This window comes from Homo sapiens, chromosome 6 (genome assembly GCF_000001405.40).
Source record: "Homo sapiens chromosome 6, GRCh38.p14 Primary Assembly".
NCBI classification, from domain to species: Eukaryota; Metazoa; Chordata; class Mammalia; order Primates; family Hominidae; genus Homo; species Homo sapiens.
In genome coordinates, this window is record NC_000006.12 from 76,844,531 (window position 1) to 76,864,074 (window position 19,544).

The 19,544-nt window shown below is 35.0% G+C and overlaps 1 long non-coding RNA gene across 2 annotated transcripts in view, besides 1 other annotated feature; it reads left to right on the forward strand.

Annotated features, from left to right (window-relative positions):
• LOC105377862 (uncharacterized) overlaps positions 1 to 19,544 on the forward strand; it is a 322,839-nt gene that overhangs the window by 69,581 nt on the left and 233,714 nt on the right. The window contains exon 3 of one of the 2 annotated variants that reach the window (NR_187979.1): positions 5,112 to 6,425. The exons of the other annotated variant lie outside the window; for it this stretch is intronic. This is a non-coding gene — a long non-coding RNA (uncharacterized LOC105377862). Of the gene's footprint in view, positions 1 to 5,111; positions 6,426 to 19,544 lie in introns of those variants that run through there. 2 annotated transcript variants of the gene reach the window in all.
• Positions 4,892 to 5,523: an enhancer, noted in NCBI's record as "H3K27ac-H3K4me1 hESC enhancer chr6:77559139-77559770 (GRCh37/hg19 assembly coordinates)". NCBI's record gives its function as "activates a minimal SCP1, AML or CMV promoter by ChIP-STARR-seq in primed H9 embryonic stem cells {active_cell/tissue: H9 hESC(primed)}" and the evidence as "EXISTENCE:reporter gene assay evidence [ECO:0000049][PMID:30033119]".

Consider the following 19,544-nt stretch of genomic DNA (forward strand, 5'->3'; position numbering starts at 1 on the left):
CGTGCAGTTTTGCTACACAGGCATACACGTGACATGGCTGGCTACACCCATCAACCCATTACCTACATTAGGTATTTCTCCTACTGTTATCCCTCCCGTAGCCCTACACCCCCCAACAAGTCCCGGTGTGTGATGTTCCCCTTCCTATGTCCATGTGTTCTCATATTTCAGCTCACACTTATGAGTGAGAACATGCAGTGTTTGGTTTTCTGTTCTTGTGATAGTTTGCTGAGAATGATGGTTTCCAGATTCATTCATGACATGAACTCATGCAAAGGACATGAACTCATCCTTTTTATGGCTGCATAGTATTCCACGGTGTATATGTGCCACATTTTCTTTATCCAGTCTATTACTGATGGACATTTGGATTGGTACCAAGTCTCTGCTATTGCGAATAGTAACACAATAAACATATGTGTGCATGTGTCTTTATAGTAGAATGATTTATAATACTTCGGGTATATACCCAGTAATGGGATGGCTGGGTCAAATGGTATTTCTAGTTCTAGATCCTTGAGGAATTGCCACACTGTCTTCCACAATGGTTGAGCTAATTTACACTCCCGCCAAAAGTGTAAAAGCTTCCCTATTTCTCCACATCCTCTCTAGCATCTGTTGTTTCCTGACTTTTTAATGATCGCCATTCTAACTGGCATGAGATGGTATCTCATAGTGGTTTTGATATGCATTTCTCTGATGACCAGTAATAATAAGCATTTTTTCATGTGTCTGTTGGCTGCATAAATATCTTCTTTTGAGAAGTGTCTGTTCATATCCTTTGCCCACTTTTTGATGGGGTTGTTTGTTTTTTTCTTGAAAATTTGTTTAAGTTCTTTGTAGATTCTGGATATTAGCCTTTTGCCAGATGGGTAGATTGCAAAAAATTTCTCCCATTCTGTAGGTTGCCTGTTCACTCTGATGATAGTTTATTTTGCTGTGCAGAAGCTCTTTAGTTTAATTAGATCCCATTTGTCAATTTTGACTTTTGTTGCCATTGCTTTTGGTGTTTTAGACCTGAAGTCCTTGCCCGTGCCTATGTCCTGAATGGTATTGCCCAGGTTTTCTTCTAGGATTTCTATGGTCCTGGGTCTTAGATTTAAGTCTTTGATCCATCTTGAGTTGATTTCTGTATAAGGTGTAAGGAAGGGGTCCAGTTTCAGTTTTCTGCATATGGCTAGCCAGTTTTCCCAACAACATTTATTAAATAGGGAATCTTTTCCCCATTGCTTGTTTGTGTTAAGTTTGTCAAAGATCAGATGGCTGTAGAAGTGTGGTATTATTTCTGAGGCCTCTGTTCTGTTCCATTCGTCTATGTATCAGTTTTGGTACCAGTACCATGCTGTTTTGGTTACTGTAGCCTTATAGTATAGTTTGAAGTCACATAGTGTTATGCCTCCAGCTTTGTTCCTCTTGCCCAGGATTGTCTTGGCTATTCAGGCTGTTTTTTGGTTCCATATGAAGTTTAAAGTAGTTTTTTTCCAATTCTGTGAAGAAAGCCATTGGTAGCTTGATGGGGATAGCATTGAATCTATAAATTACTTTGAGCAGTATGGCCATTTTCACGATATTGATGCTTCCTATACATGAGCATGGAATGTTTTTCCATTTGTTTGTGTCTTATTTCCTTGAGCAGCAGTTTGTAGTTCTCTTTGAAGAGGTCCTTCACATCCCTTGTAAGTTGCATTCCTAGGTATTTTATTCTCTTTGTAGCAATTGTGAATGTGAGTTCACTCATGATTTAGCTCTTTGTCTGTCTATTATTGGTGTATAGAAATGCAATTTTTTCACATTGATTTTGTATCCTGAGACTCTGCTGAAGTTGCTTATCAGTGCAAGGAGATTTTGGGCTGAGACGATGGGGTTTGCTAAATATACAATCATGTCATCTGCACACAGAGACAATTTGACTTCCTCTCTTCCTATTTGAATACCTCTATTTCTTTCTCTTGACTGATTGCCCTGGCCAGAACTTCCAATACTATGTTGAACAGGAGTGGTGAAAGAGGGCATCCTTGTCTTGTGCTGGTTTTCAAAGGGAATGCTTCCACTTTTTGCCCATGCAATATGATATTGGCTGTGGGTTTTTCATAAATAGCTCTTATTATTTTGATATATGTTCCATTGATACCTAGTTTATTGAGAGTTTTTAGCACGAAGGGGTATTGAATTTTGTTGAAGGCCTTTTCTGCATCTATTGAGATAATCATGTGGTTTTTGTCATTGGTTCTGATTATGTGATGGATTACGTTTATTGATTTGCGTATGTTGAACCAGCCTTGCATCCCAGGGATGAAGCCAACTTGATCGTGATGGATAAGCTTTTTGATGTGCTGCTGGATTCGGTTTGCCAGTATTTTATTCAGGATGTTTGCATCGATGTTCATCAGGGATATTGGCCGGAAATTTTCTTTTTTTGTTGTGTCTCTGCTAGGTTTGGTATCGGGATGATGTTGGCCTCATAAAATGAGTTAGGAAGGATTCCATCTTCTTCTATTGTTTGCAATAGTTTCAGAAGGAATAGTACCAGCTCCTCTTTGTACCTCTGGTAGAATTCGCCTGTGAATCCGTCTGGTCCTGGACTTTTTTCGGTTGGTAGGCTATTAATTGCTGCCTCAGTTTCAGAACTTGTTATTGGTTTATTCAGGGATTTGACTTCTTCCTGGTTTAGACTTGGGAGGGTGTATGTGTCCAGGAATTTATCCATTTCTTCTAGATTTTCTAGTTTATTTACATAGGGGTGTCTATAGTATTCTCTGATGGTAGTTCATATTTCTGTGGGATCAGTGGTGATATCCCCTATATCATTTTTTTATGTCTATTTGATTCTTCTTTCTTTTCTTCTTTATTCGTCTGGCTAGTGGTCTATCTGTTTTGTTGATCTTTTCAAAACACCAGCTCCTGGATTCATTGATTTTTTGAAGGGTTTTTCGTGTCTTTATCTCCTTCAGTTCTGCTCTGATATTAGTTATTTCTGGTGTTTTGCTAGATTTTGAATTTGTTTGCTGTTGCTTCTCTAGCTCAATTTTGATGTTAGGGTGTCAATTTTAGATCCTTCCTGCTTTCTCTTGTGGGCATTTAGTGCTATAAATTTCCCTCTACATACTGCTTTAAATGTGTCCCAGAGATTCTGGTACATTGTGTCTTTGTTCTTATTGGTTTCAAAGAACATCTTTATTTCTGCTTTCATTTCATTGTTTACCTAGTAGTCATTCAGGAGCAGGTTGTTCAGTTTACATATCATTGTGCAGCTTTGAGTGAGTTTCTTAATCCTGAGTTCTAATTTGATTGCACTGTGGTGTGAGAGACTTTTTGTTATGATTTCTGTTCTTTTACATTTGCTGAGGACTGTTTCACTTCCAATTATGTTGTTGATTTTAGAATAAGTGCAATGAGGTGCTGAGAAGACTGTATATTCTGTTGATTTGGGGTGGAGAGTCCTATAGAAGTCTATTAGGTCAGCTTGGTCCAGAGCTGACTTCAAGTACTGAATATCCTTGTTAATTTTCTGTCTGTTTGATCTGTCTAATATTGACAATGGGGTGTTAAAGTCTCCCACTATTATTGTGTGGGAGTCTAGGTCTCTTTGTAGGTCTCTAAGAACTTGCTTTATGAATCTGCATGCTCCTGTATTGGATGCATATGTATTTATGACAGTTAGCTCTTTTTGTTGCATTGATCCCTTTACCATTATATAATGCCCTTCTTTGCTTTGCCTCTTTTGATCTTTGTTGGTTTGAAGTCTGTTTTATCAGAGATTAGGATTGCAGCTCCTGCTTTTTATGCTTTCCATTTTCTTGGTAAATATTCCTCCATCCCTTTATTTTGAGCCTATGTGTGTCTTTGCACGTGAGATGTGTCTCCTGAATACAGCATGCTACTGAGTTTTTACTCTTTATCCAATTTGCCAGTCTGTGTCTTTTAATTGAGGCATTTAGTCCTTTTACATTTAAGGTTAATATTGTTATGTGTGAATTTGTTCCTGTCATTATGATGCTAGCTGGTTGTTTTGCCCATTAGTTGATGCAGTTTCTTCACAGTGTTGATGTTCTTTACAATTTGGTATGTTTTTGCAGTGGCTAGTACTGGTTGTTCCTTTCTGTGTTTAGTGCTTCCTTCAGGAGCTCTTGTAAGGCAGGCCTGGTGGTGACAAAATCTCTCAGCATTTGCTTGTCTGCAAAGGATTTTATTTCTCCTTCACTAATGAAGCCTAGTTTGGCTGGATATGAAATTCTGGTTTGAAAATTCTTTTCTTTAAGAATGTTAAATATTGGCCCCCACTCTCTTCTGGCTTGCAGGGTTTCTGCAGAGAGATCTGCTGTTAGTCTGATGGGCTTCCCTTTGAACCTTTTTTCAAGGTTCTTAACTTCCTTACATTGGGTTAGAACATGCTCCTTTAGCTCAGAGGAGTTTGTTATTGCCCACCTTCTGAAGCCTACTTCTGTCAATTCGTCAAACTCATTCTCTGTCCAGTTTTGTTCCCTTTCTGGTGAGGAGTTGTGGTCCTTTGGAGGAGAAGAGGCAATCTGGTTTTTGGAATTTTCAGCCTTTTTGTGCTGGTTTCTCGCCATCTTTGTGGAAGTATCTACTTTTGGTCTTTGATATTGGTGACCTTCGGATGGGGTCTTTGAGTGGATGTGCTATTCCTTTCTGTTTGTTAGTTTTCCTTCTGACAGCCCCCTCTGCTGAAGGTCTGCTGGAATGTGCTGTAGGTCCACTCCTGACCCTGTTTGCCTGGGTATCACCAGCAGAGGCTGCAGAACAGCAAAGATTGCTGCCTGATCTTTCCTCTGGAAGCTTCGTCCCAGAGGGGCACCTGCCAGATGCCAGCCAGAGCTCTCCTGTATGAGATGTCTGTCGGCCCCTACTGGGAGATGTCTCCCAGTCAGGATACACGGGGGTCAGGGACCCACTTGAGCAAGCAGTCTGAACTTTAGCAGAGCTCATACGCTGTGCTGGGAGGTCCACTGCTCTCTTCAGAGCTGTCAGGCAGGGATGTTTAAGTCTGCTGAAGCTGTGCCCACAGCGGCCCCTTTACCCAGGTGCTCTGCCCCAGGGAGATGGAGGTTTTATCTATAAGTTCCTGACTGGGGCTGCTGCCTTTTTTTCAGAGATGACCTACCCATAGAAGAGAAATCTGGCAGTCTGGCCACAGCAGCTTTGCTGACCTGCAGTGGGATCCGACCAGTTGGAACTTCCCAGCGGCTTTGTTTACACTGTGAGCTGTGGAGCATAAAACTGCCTACTCAAGCCTCAGCAATGGTGGACGCCCCTCCCCACACCAAGCTCAAATGTCCTGGGTAGATCTCAGACTGCTGCTGTGCTGGCAGTGAGAATTTCAAGCCAGTGGATCTTAGTTTCCTGGGCTCCGTGGGGTTGGGACCTGCCAAGCCAGACCACTTGGCTCCCTGGCTTCAGCACCCCTTTGCAGGGGAGTGAACGGTTCTGTCTCACTGGCGATCCAGGTGCCACTAGGGTATGGAAAAAAAGAACTCCAGCAGCTAGTTCACTCACTGCCCAAATGGCCGCCCAGTTTTATGCTTGAAACCCAGGGTCCTGGTGGGGTAGGCACTGGAGGGAATCTCCTGGTTTGTGAGTTGTGAAGACCATGGGATAAGCGCAGTATCTGTGCTGGAGTTCCTCAGGCTCAGTCCCTCATGGCTTCCCTTGGGTAGGGGAGAAAAATCTCCCGATCCCTTGCGCTTCCCAGGAGAGGCGATGCTCCGCCCTGCTTCAGCTCACCCTCGGTGGGCTTCACCCACTGTCCTACCAGTCCCAGTGAGATGAACCGGGTACCTCAGTTGGTAATGCAGAAATCACCCACCTTCTGCATCGATCTCACTGGGAGCTGCAGACCGGAGCTGTCCCTGTTTGGCCATCTTGCCACAGGATCATCAAAGATTTTATATGCATACACATACATAAATGTAAAATCTATTTTATCTTCTTTTACACTAAGGCACTTGAATTTGGATTATTTTATACTTAGCAATATAGCTTGAAAGTTTTTTATATTAGCTTATACAGAGTTTTGTTGTTGTTGTTGTTTCTTCAGCTGCATAGTGCAGCATTCCATTGTGTGACTCTATTATACTTTAGCTATTTGGGGTATATCTTATATTATTATACATGATGCTGCAATTATATTTTGGAGTTGCCATATTAAAATGCATTGCTCTTCCTTGACATTTGTCTTAATCAACATTTCTAACAGCAATGTATGAATGTAACTGTTTCTTCACAATTTAGTCCACTTTGTTCATTATCAAGCTTTTGTATTTTTCAAATCTAATAAATTAAAAATGGTATCCCAGCATAGTTTATATATATATGTGTGTATATATACACACATATATACTCATACATATATACACATATACACACATATATACATATATTTGTGTACATATATAAAATAAATAAAATTAGCATAACATAAAATTAAACATTTTAGGATGAAAAATAAAGTGAAATTTAATACATTTACCATGTTGTGGAATCACTACTTTTGTTAAGTTTCAAACATTTTTATCACCCCAAAAGAAAACTTCATACTTATTAATCAGTCAGCTATCATTTTCCCCTCTCCTCAGCTCCTAGCAATCATTAGTCTGCTTTCAGTCTCCATGAATCTATCCAATCTAGATATTTCCTATAAATGGAATTATACAAAATAGTTTTTGTTTGGCTTTCTACACTTAGCAAAATGTTTTGAGGTTCATCCACATTGTAGCATATATCAGTATTTCATTCCTTTTTATGACTGTTTAACATCCCATTTTATGTATATACCACAATTTCTTTATGCATTGATTCATTTGTGAAAAGTTGGATTTTGTTCACCTTTTGCCTATTATGAACTTTTGCTGCTACAGACATTTGTGTATAGATATTTGAGTACCTGTTTTCAATTTTTAGGTTATATATGTAGGAGTGAAATTGCTGAATCATAAAGTAATTCAATGTTTAGTTTTTTGAGGAAATGCCAAACTGTTTTCCATGACAACTAGATCATTTTGCTTTCCAACCAGCAATGTCTGAGGGTTGAAAATTCTTCACATCCTTAACAATACTTAATCCTTTTCCCTCTTTTTAAAAAAATTATAGCCGTTATGGAAAACAGTACAGAGTTTCCTCAAATAATTAAAAATAGAACTTCCATATAATCCAAAAATTTCACTACTGAGTATATATCCTAGGGAAATGAAACCAGTATGTTGAAGAGATATCTGTACTCCCATGTTTATTGCAGCACTGTTAACAACAGTCAAAATGTGGACTCAACTTGTGTCCAACAATGAATGAATGAATAAAAATATGTGGCATATACAACAGAATACCATTCAGCCTTAAAAAAGAGTAAAATCCTGTCATTTGCCACAACTTAGATAAATCTGAAGATCATTATGTTAAGTAAAATAAGCCAGACACAGAAAGATAATACTGCATGTTCTCACTCACTTGCAGATTCTAAAGGAGTTGATATCATAGAAGTAGAAAGTAGAAGAGTGATTACCAGAGACTGGAGAGGGGAGGCTGAAGGGGTATATATGAAAAGAACGGTCAAGCAGTAAAAGTTACAATAGAAAAAATGAATAAATTCTGGGGTTATATTGCACAGTTGCATGACTACAGTCAACAGAAAGTATTGTATACCTCAAAACAACTAGAAAAGAAGATTTTTTTATGCTCCTACCACGAAGAAATAATGAATGTTTGAGGTGATGGATATGCTAATTATCCTGATTTGATCATTACACAATATATACATGTGTTGAAACATCACGTTATACCCTATAAATATGTACAATTATGTGTCAATTAGAAAATAAAAATAAGTGAATATATATTATTGAAAGAATGTTGATTAAACTGGCCCCTTTAACAAAATGAATTTCCATCTTTTTTTTGTTCAAGCCAGCCAACTTAGATGGCTGTAGAAATTATTGCTTCCTCTCACAGGACACACTTGGCATTTCCCTATCTATTTCCCTTTCCTTCTTATATTCGCTATTTTGTGCTCAGTGACACCTAGATCTCTTCATTTTTTCATTCCCTACTATTCTCCCATTTTTTTTCATCCCAAGCATACTGTGCAATTCTATCCAATCATCTACCCTCACTTTAGAAGGTTCATTCTACTTCCACTTCATTATATTCATTCTCAAATGTGAAAATGTGAGGACTGTTGAGAAAATAACTATGGTCTCTCCCAAACTCTAGTCCTTAGGTTGAAAAATTTTTAATGTAATGGTAAAGTGCAAGTACTCTTAATTTATGTGGTCACACAGCACTAACGGGACTGTTGCTCAAAAACAGAATGGAAATTATTTGGCCATCCAAAAAAGGTTATGCTATTTAACAATTGAAAGCTACTGGTTTATGGATATTCACAGCCTCTTCTCTTTCTTACTTTTGCATGACTCACCAGCTGAGCATTCTCTCTTCTTTTCTTAGTGCTTACTTTGCAGATTATAATGTTTCTTTACATGTGTCAAAGTACTTTCACATTTGGTTAGTTTGGGGATGTGGGCAAGAGATACTAAATGGGAGGAGGAAGTATTTGCTTATGAAATGGTTAAGATTCAGTTACCTGAGAAAAAATAAAGAAGAGGAAATAAAGAAGAGAGGAAAGGGAAAGGGGAAAAAAGAAAAGAATCATTATATGGGCAGGAGCTTAGAGAAGGTTTAATAGTAAAAATTTAGAGACAGAGGCTGAAGGATGTGAGCAATATTGAAAGCTAGAGGAACAGGAGAGAGTTTTCAGAAAGCATTATTTTGGATTACAAATGAGATTGATTTCAAGGTCCTTTTGACACGTCAAAAAGGTTAAATGTATTTTAAATTATTTCAGTTGCTATGTTTGTTATGCTAAATGCAACATCCCATGGAAGGTGAAATATAAAAAGTCTCAGCTTATTTTTAGGTTGCTTTTATTTTGTTGTCTTTTTGGGGTAATTATTTAAATGAAAATAGAATATTAACATAAAATTCTGGTAGATAATCTATAAATCCTAAAAATATATTTGCTAACCCCAGTTTGAGAAGTTTATGGACTTTCACACTCAGTGCTCATGACAAAGCTAACTTAGGCCCAACTTTGTGAAATATGAAAACTGTTGAAGGAAAAAAGTGGTTCTCCCATAAAATGTTAATGCATTTTGCTTCATTTTTTTTTTTTTTTGTTATTTCACAAGGCACCTTATATTTTTCTGTAAAGTCTGCATGAAAAATAGAAGAGGTAGGGAAGTAGCCTTCCTTAGTGATTTAGGGTTCTCAGAAACACAGGGGCTCTGAATTCCAAACATAAGTGGAAGTATGGTTGTAAGATAAGTCTTCAGAAATAAAAGGTCAATATCTATTGTGATGAATAAAAATGATCTATTCTTTAAAAAGATTTTTCTCTCTCCTAATATATTTTTTCTTCTCATATTTTCTCTGCTTCCTATCATTGTAAATATAAAAAAAACAAAAATTTTAAATACCAAATGATTTCTCTTTATGGTTCATCTTTTTTTCTGCAAGAACTTCAATTTTGTTTGTTTTTTTGTTTGTGTGCATCTATGTATATATAACATTTCAGTTAAAAACAATCAAATAAAAAACAAGCAAATAAAGTGAACAAAATGTGAAAAGCCCTTGTCCTACACTGACAAATATTTACCCTTCAAGGCGAAATTATTTCTTAATAACTTCCTTGCCCTTCAAAAGTTATGAAAATATCCATTCCTGTTTATTTTTAATGGGTGAAAAAAGAATAAAGAAAGATAGTGCTTGCCAATTAGAGTGTATGTTGAATCCAACTTATCTCAAATAGCCACTTGTGACTGCTATATTTTTTCATTACTCACTTATGAAAGAAATAGTACTTTAAATTATTTTTCCAATTTGTAAAAGTGTGTTTGTTGCCAAGACTTCTGAACATATGACTAGTTCTAATCCATCAAAAATATAATATCTAGTAGCAAACCATAGTATTCATAGCATTAAATCATCTGTCTTTATAACATGAGTTCTACGTTCCCAGCATTAACAGACAAGCCTGTTTTTGCTTGCCATCAAAGTGCTGATTTGGTATTACCCAAATGAAACAACTTCATAGAGCCATACAATGTTTACTCAGTTTGAGAATGCCCTGTAGACCATTTCCTTCATTCATTTTCTTTGTTCACTCTTTTTAGTATATATTTATTGAACCCTCTGTATTCCACTTGGCAAAGAAATAAATACATAGAATTTTCTACAGAAAAGTTTGTAAACATTCAAAGTTTAACAATAACATAACACTTAAATAACAAAGATGGCAATTGTCATATGACAATTTTTTATGAGTGTCTAATACATTTTGGCATATTCTTAGAGGATTGTGAATGAGAATGGTCAAGGAAGCCCTCAAATTAAAGGTACAACTTGAACTGGAAACTTGTAACAGGTGCGGGAAATCAATTTTAAGAGAAAAAATAATATTCCAAGAAAAGGAAGAAAGAACATTCCAAAAAAGGGACCTAAGCAAAAATGCCATGGTAGGTAACAGAAGGTAAATGCCTCTTAATGCACTAATTCACTTGGCAGTATTAGAGGGATCAGACAGGCAATGCAAGAGTGTCACCATAGTAGCTTTAATTTACAAAGTATGAGAGAGCCTAACATTAAAACAATCTACATATATTCCTATTTCTAAATTAATTGAATAGATAAGAAACATTCTTTATTTAAAATAGTGAAATATTTAATTTCCTTTGGAATGTGCTTTGTATTGAAATTCAAATAGAATTTGTTTGATGTGACATTGTGCAGATTGGATTATGGAAGGGCTATGGAGCATTCTCTGACTGTTGGTTCATCTCCATCTAAAAGATGAACAATACTTCCTAGCTATGAATATTGCAAAATCCAAATCACATTGTTTCTCTTAAAATTTCTAGAGTAGACATTCTTCTGAAGCTAGAGTAAATTAGGCATGTTCCAAGATGGCGATGTCTAAAAACAAGTCCACAATCCTGTTGCTTACATTGGATGAAAATACATTGGGCAATAAGTTAAAAAAAACTTTTCTGTAATAAAATTCACTTTAATATTTTGACAGAAAAAGTAGTTGCTAAATTCATTGGAGTATAATTTATTATTACTAATGTCAAATAAAAATATTGTGACAAATCTTTGCTTGTTTTATAAGTGATTTATTTTCACATCCTTCCACTTACAACTGCAACCTTAAAATAAACTGAGAATACTAACAGCATGTTAATTACTGAAGAATTATATAACTATGGTATCAGTCCATAATGAAGTATAATAATCTTCAGCCAAACCTAACTTTAAAATTTTAAATGACTAAAGACTAAATTAAACATATTTTTAAACCATTGCATCATTAACTGGATATTAACAGGAGCCTCATCTTCAAGGTATTTTAAAATTACTGGCCACTCAATGATGTTTGGATTGTATCTTACACAAATTATTTATTCAAAATTAATACAGTTCAGATAATTCAGATCTAAACTTGAAATACATTTCATATCTTAGTTTTCTTTTTCAAATGCACTGGGGCTAATTGTGTGATCTACTGATAGTAAAGTTTTTCCTTTAAAATTTAACCAGAATAAGATATTAGAATATACTCAGTAAAATTTATCACCATCAGAACACATTGAGAATCTATCTTTGTAACATGCTTTATTAGTTGTTGCGCACAGCAAGCGAGACAGACGTAATCTGTCCCTGAGGAATTTACAATCCAACACTGATAATGCTGACACAGGTGCTGCCAAGGCAATTCGGGCAAAGAAATCAGCATTAAACAGATAGATAAATAGGTGAACTTAAATGTAGTAATAATAAATAACTCTAAATGCAATAATTTGTGCTCTGATACTTCGAATATGTTTTCTTTCAAATAACTCACTAGTCTCTCAATACTTGAGTCACAGGAACGTATATGAAGGTACAACGGCATAATAAAGACTGGTCAATGAAGTTGCATGCTTGGCTGGGACAATCACAGAAAAGAGCAAAAAAAACCACAGTGGTGGGAAATTTCAAGAAAGAAAAGGAATTGGCTCAATGTGTCTCAGTGTCAAAAACTGGACTAGGAATGTGAATTTGCTCTTTGGATCCAAATAGAAGGAATATTTAAAGCAAGTACTGATCTTCTCTCAGTTCACTCCTGACTGTCATGTGCTTGAAATAATTCACTAAAATAGTAAAAGAGAAACAAAAACCTCCATGAATTGAATGTAAAAGGGATGAATTACTCCAGCAACCTGATCAGTAATTCCTAGTTTCTGTTGCTGGGCTCAGAAAAATTTATCATGATCTTAGAGTAAAGGAATATCTGTAATATTTACTTTGTTGAAAATAGTCTTTATAAGAAAACAGCAAGTATTTATGTGCTTTGCTTTTGTTTGGTTATAGTACATCTTTTTCCCAAACAATGTAATTCTACATGGTTGAGGAAAACAAGCATATGTTCAGATAAAGCTAAATAAATATATACATTTTGACTGGGGGGAGGACACTGTGGCATGGTACACAGTGTTTAAGGTGACTGAGTTGTGATGACAGTGGGGAGCTATTGAATCTGTTCTACTGTGCCCTATTTTCTTCATGGAAGCCAAATCTGATTCTAGAAGAGAGAAAATGAAGCTAGGTTGCAAGCACTGCTGAAATAATCTGGCAGGATTTTATTCATCCGGTTTAAAGAAAACACTAAAGTTTGAATAAGATTTTTTTTTTTCAGAACAACAAAAAAATTCTCTTTCAAATGTATAAAAGATCAGACTTCTAAAAAATGTACTCAATGTCCTTATTAAATAAAGCTATTTTGGAATATAAAGTTGACATAGTGGCATATTTAATAATTTAAAAAATATTTAGCACAAGGTTCAATGTTTCAAAAAATTAGGTTAACACTGCTTTTTATTTGTATAAATTTATGAGGTACAGGTGTACTTTTGTTTCACGGATATAATGTGTAGTGGTGAAGTCAGGGATTCAAGTGTATTCATCACCAGAATAACCTACTTTGAATTCATTAGTTAATTTCTCATCATCCAGCTCCTCCTATCCTCTCACCCTTTGAGTATTCATTGTTTATCATTCCATACTTTACATTAATGTGTACATATTATTTAGCTCCTACTTATAAGTGAGAACATGTGGTATTTGTTTTTCTGTGTCTGAGTTGTTTCACTTAAGATAATGGCCTTCAGTTCCATCCACGTTGCTGCAAATGACATTATTTCATTCTTTTTATGGCTGCATAGTATTACATGGTATATAAATACCATATTTTCTTTATCCAATCATCCATTGATGAACACTTAGAGTGATTACATATCTTTGCTATTGTGAACAGCGCTGTGAATAAACATACAAGTGCAGGTATCTTTTTGATATAATGATTTCTTTTCCTTTGGATTGATACCTAGTTGTGAGGTTAGTGGATCAAATAATAGCTCTATTTTTAGTTCTTTGAGAAATCTACATCCTGTTTTTCATAGAGGTTGTACTAATTTATGTTCCCACCAACAGTGTGTAAGCATTCCTTTTTCTCTGCATCCTCACCAGCATCTGTTATTTGAATTTGTGTATATTAAGTATACTGTTTTGTATTCCTATATTAATCACAGATTAATAAATATGAAATAATACAAAAGAAAAATTAAGAAAAAAGGCAAAAAGTAATCAAGTATATGATGAATATGATCTAAAATTATTATAGGGAAAGTCTTGAGAAAGAGAGAAACATTTTAATTAATCAAAAGTGACAAAAGGGAAATTCTTACAAACAAATTTTTTAACAATTTGGAGTGCTGGATTTTTCTACATCTGAAAGAGCAGAAGCATTGAACAAATATTTCAAATTATCATCCTCTGGCAGGATTTCTCTAACATAAAAACAAAAACCATTCCCACAGAAAGGAAAATATTTTTCTTCCTTTCTAAATATATTGGAAATCCTGCTCCTCTAAATATGTCAGAGAAAATGGTAAAATAGAAAGAAATCCTCGATTGAAGGAATTTCTTCTAAAATGAAAGCCAGGACATGAAGAAAATCTTCATAGACAGATACGTAGAGAGATACGTAGACTAAATGGAATGAAAAAGAAAAGATTATAATTATGACTAGTATAAGAGATAGGAAGTTAAGCATAGGACCACTCCAGAAGTTAAAATTTTTTTTTTCTGAAACAAATCAGTGGCTTAGAAAAATTAGTGAGAACAGTTACATATTGAAAGACATACAGAGACATAAGTGTTCCACACAAGTGTTAACAATGTGTGGAAATTTGGTAGATCTTGATTCAGACAAAACAAATAGTACAAAAGAGTTTTTTAAAAATCTGGGGAAATTGCTTATGTGCTTGATATTATTTAGTATTAAGGAATTATTGCTAGTTTTGTTATGAATGATAACGACATTGTTTTTATACAAGAAATCGTTCATACTTTTTGGAGATACACACTGAAGTATGTAGAGGCAAATGATGATAGCTGTGATTTGCTTTAAAATAAATTCAACATTGAAAAAAGAAAATAAAATAAGGGATAGATGAAGCAATCTAGGGCAAATCTTAATTGTTAATAGGAACTTGCATGTGTGAAAGTTGAATGGACTTTTCTCTCAATGTATGTTTGAAATTTTTCGTTATAGAAATGTTAATATTTTATGATGATAAAAATAATATACATATGTTTTAGAAATTTTGGAAAATACAGTAAATTATAAGTAAAATAAAATTCAGCTATGGTTCTACCATCAGAAATAACTTATCTTAAAGGTTTGAGATATTTATGTTCTAGAAGTTATTGATAGAGAATTTTTATTATTATTTAGTTTTAATCATAGTAAATATATATGGTGAATTATATAATGATGTCTCGATCCTTTCATTTTTCTTTTGTGTTTTAACTCCTTTCTAAAAGAGTATCATAAAATCCATTTAATATTAAGACTAATCATATTATATATAAACATTTTAAATTTCAGATTTTATAAGTAACATTTTAAAGTTGTTCATGACATTTAAAAATCTACCTATCTTTTTGTTAAGTTTATAAATATTCTGTTTTTAATTCACAACAAGAGGGTCTGCTGTGTTATTTTGTTCACATTGTGTATATATATTCTACATCAGGAAAAAATGATGAGTTCAGTAGAAAGCTTTTTCTAAATAATTCCTGGTACGAAGTTGGTGCAAGGTGAGTCACACGTTGCTGAGAATTCAGTGAACACAAGCTACTCAAATTCTGTCGATTTTAAGAAGTGAAGACATGTATATGCCAGTCCAGAACTCCTAGGGTGAAATGAAGATGAAACCTTCCCTGACCATCAATAAGTAATTTTTACTTACTGAGAGATGGGGAAAGACTAATTCAGGGATGGCAAAATGCAGATTATTATTTGACACACATTATTGCCCCTCTCAATAATTCTTTGACACACAAAGAATAACCTTGACTGTAAGTTGCCTGCTTCTCTATCAAAATTGAAACTTTGAATGGAATAGTATTAATTACCCATCATATTTCCTTATTACTAGATTGTGAGTTCCTTGACGGTAAAGACAGTATCTTTTATTTCTGAAAGGCAAATAAGTAGGCACTCAAAATGTAACTAAAATTTAGATAGAGAAATTATTTTCTTAAAAGTTTATGATGTGGTCATTAAGAATGTCTAAATTAATCAAGATGCAGACAAGATTTTATAAGAATAGAGAAATATAATTCAAAGCAGAAAAAATTATTAACTACTTTTAAGAAAAAAATCAGATGAGAAGATAAATGCTCTGATGATATCTCCATTCCATCTTACATCTTTTCTATTTTTGAGGCTTCAATTCCTATCTTTCCTTCAAGAACCAGGTAAAATTAATCTGCTCCAAATATATACATAATCTCTTTGGTTCAACTGTCACTATGCTTTATCTAAACATACTAAGACCTTTTTTTCTTCTCATCTCAAAACTTAAGCATCTTGGTTTTATGGCTATAATTTTATTTATATTTATTTTTGTTTTACTTAAATTGCTTAAAACATAATACAAACTACGTATTTATGTGTTGAATACCTATATGAGTAAATGGATAAACATCATAATGTACTCTACTATTAATCAAAGCAAGCATAAGATAATAAAAGAGATTCTTATTAAATAAAAACGGAATGAACTACCTATTGTCATGGCAGCATTATTAAACTCTTTAGGAGACTGGTATAAAATGACCAGCTGGATTTTTCTTCACCCTAGAATTATTACCAAGGCCCAAAGCTGGAGACCAGAGGAAGTATTACAATTAGTAGGTTCTGAGAATTACTTGAGATTAGGGCCAGCCACCCCTTCAAAAAGAATTATTGAGAGGGTCCAGCTCAGAGAATAAATTCAACCATGTATGATATTCAAAATAGTTACTAACCAGTTTGGCACAACACTGACTAATTCAAATGGATGCCAGCTGTAAAAAACCAATGTGGCTCTAAAAGCTAATACTATTTTCACTTTTACCCTCTGATAATGTCAGAAGACCAGGAGAACAGCTCTGTAAAATTCAGTTCCTTCTCATCAGGGAGGTTGCTTTCACAAATGGAAGACTGGCAATGATATGCCCATTGACTTGGAAACATCGTGATCTTCTCTTGTGCTATTGGCGGAACATCAAAAAGAAAGGTAGACTGCCTGTAGAAATGGGACAGGTACTGTTCCTCCTTAATTTACAGATTACTAAGAGAAACAGGAGTTAGATTTTTCACCTTCTCATATGTCCAAGATCTGCCAAGGGTCTAGCAAGCTTGTCCAACCCGTGACCTGTGGGTCACATGCAGCCCAGGACGCCTTTGAATACAGCCCAACACAAAATCATAAACTTTCTTAAAACATTATGAGATTTTTTTTTTTTTTTGTAGCTCATCAGCTATCATTAATGTTAGTGTATTTTATGTGTAGCCCAAGACAATTCTTCTTCTTGCAATGTGGCCCACGGAAGCTAAAAAATTGGACACCTCTGGGTAGGGTAGGGTGGTGGAAGGGTGAAAGGGAGATGGAGAATACAGTATTACCAGTACTGCCACCATGTGGTTACAAATAGTCATACACACCAGAGGGTGCCAGCGGGATGTCATCCATTTGAGACTAAAGGAACACCTTGAGCTTAAACAAACTACACATAAATGAACCTCCTTTGCAGTAGGACAAGTTGGCCCTTCACCTGTCCAACTCAAATACCAGAAAAGTAATGCTAACTTTATCAGAGACCTCTACTTCCTACTGCTTCAACCCTCTTTTAGCCTTTCGGTGTTAATATCTTTACTATCTCCTATCTTTGCCCCCTCAGTTGACCTTTCTTTTCCCCCATCATTACATCCTGCATTTTAGCAGCCTAAGAAATGTTACCTTTTTATGCTCTTTTACACCTTATTCCCAGTAAAGGATCCTTTTTCTTGTTCCTTCCTCTCAGTGCCTCATTCTCTATTAATTCCTTATAGCACATCTCTTTTTTTACATTATATTAAATAAATAATTTCTTCCAGTTTGAAAGAGCTCCATAAATTCATAACTTCACAATCAGAACATGGGTTGAAGTTCAGCAACCCTCCTTTCTTCCTGAGAATCTTGCTACAGTAAAATCCCACACAACCATATGTGGCAGGAAAGTATAAAATGCTGTAAAAGAAGATAAAATGAAAAGTCATTAAAATAACCCTCATAAAAAACTTAAAACCCACAGAAATAGCATGCAATATGAAATTGCTATAGAATTTATGTATAGTTAAAAGAAACAAATAGGTTTTTCATCCAATCAACCATTTGGCAATCTGACCATTAGAATAATTGTTTTTTGGTGAACTGATTTCAGCAAATTAATTTCCATGGAATTGACCTTGAGCACTGCCCCAACTTCAGAGGATAAAGTTAGTAAAAGAGAAAAAAAAAGTGCATGGTAGAAGCTCATGTCTCTTTCACTCCATTCCAAGATGGTAAATGAATTTTGGGGAAGGAATGAAAGCATGTTAAATCAGACAAGGTAATGACGTTTAAAATGAGGGGGACCAACTCTCAGCAACTAAAATGAGTTTGTTAAAATACTGAAAGAGATGAAAAAGTCATGAAATATGTTGAGATGTCATTAAAGGAAACATTATTTAGCTGCGTCATGAGGCTCAGAGGGCTCAATTAAAAGCAATGATTGAAAAATGATTCAACCTTTTACTGTTGTATCCACAAAAGCTAAGATTTCTCTATCCTCAAAGAAATCATTTGGAAATGGAAGCAAATGTAATTTGACCAAGTTCAGTAGAGCAAAATGCAATGATTTGTAAGAAAAAAAAATTCATTCTTTTATTTACTAAATTTTCCTACCTTAATATGGTATCATATTTCATTGCAATTTGAGAATTGTTTAAATGTACTTATTAATTTAAGAGATTAAGAGATAGGCTGTTTCTACTTGTTATGCCTTAGAGGTGATGCAGAAAAATCCCTTTTTCCTTGTGCGTTCATTCTCTGCAAGGCCATTTCTCTGGTAGTTCTGCCAGAGTTTTTAAAAAGTGAGATAAAAAGTTATTGTTGGACTGCTTCCCCACTGCAGAGATACACAATGCTCAAGCTAATGTCAGTATTCACTGTTGTCATACATTTCTGCATTACTAAATATGCATAATTGTGGTGAGAGGATCATCTATGTATTTAGGTCTGTTTTTAATTGTGTTATAAAATTCAAGTGGGTGGGCATAGTGTCATTGTGAATTATCATCTAATATCTAACACACTAGCAAATGTATGTACTTACTTAGCTTTATGTTATCCAACTGCTGCCCCAGAATTTAAAATTTTTAAATGTTATGCTTTGTCCTCATTTCCTTAATACAAGTAATTTAGCCAAGAGAAAAGTTTTATAATTTGACTTTCTTTTGGAAACGTACCCAAGGCCAGGGGATCAGTTTTGGCTTAAAGGGTGTCTTTGTAGCTTTCCTGGGGAGTTTTTGTTGGTGTGTAGGAGAGGCAATGATTTTTGGGAGGAAACCTATAACTTTATCTTTGGTTTATTCTCTTCTCTTAATTGATCTTTTGCCACGCTTTCTCCATTAAAGGATTCTCCATCCTTGACATTGACTGCAAAGGACTGGAGAAAATGCATCCCTCTATTTGCCAGTTACAATCTTGATCCCTTTAGTAAATACTCACATACATATATTTCAAAGAAGTTTTAAGCATCTGTTTATTTTAGGTTTCCAGTAGTAAAATTAAAATGGCACTCTGTGAAGGATCTCAGATATGAAAGCCTACTATTGAATAATTACTCTAACCCTCAATCTGTAAATGATTGTACAGCTTCACTGGCTACACTATCATGATGTCTATACACAGATGATTTCTAGGCCAGGGGAGTGTCTTCCACTTGAATAATTCTTTCTTAGGATTGCTTCTGTCTGCCTACATTACCTCTTATCCCTTGCCTTTGACTTTTTAACTTCCTCTCACATCACAAAATCTCCTGCTTTTTAGGCCCACTATTCTTCCAGTTAAAAGTTAACACTATCC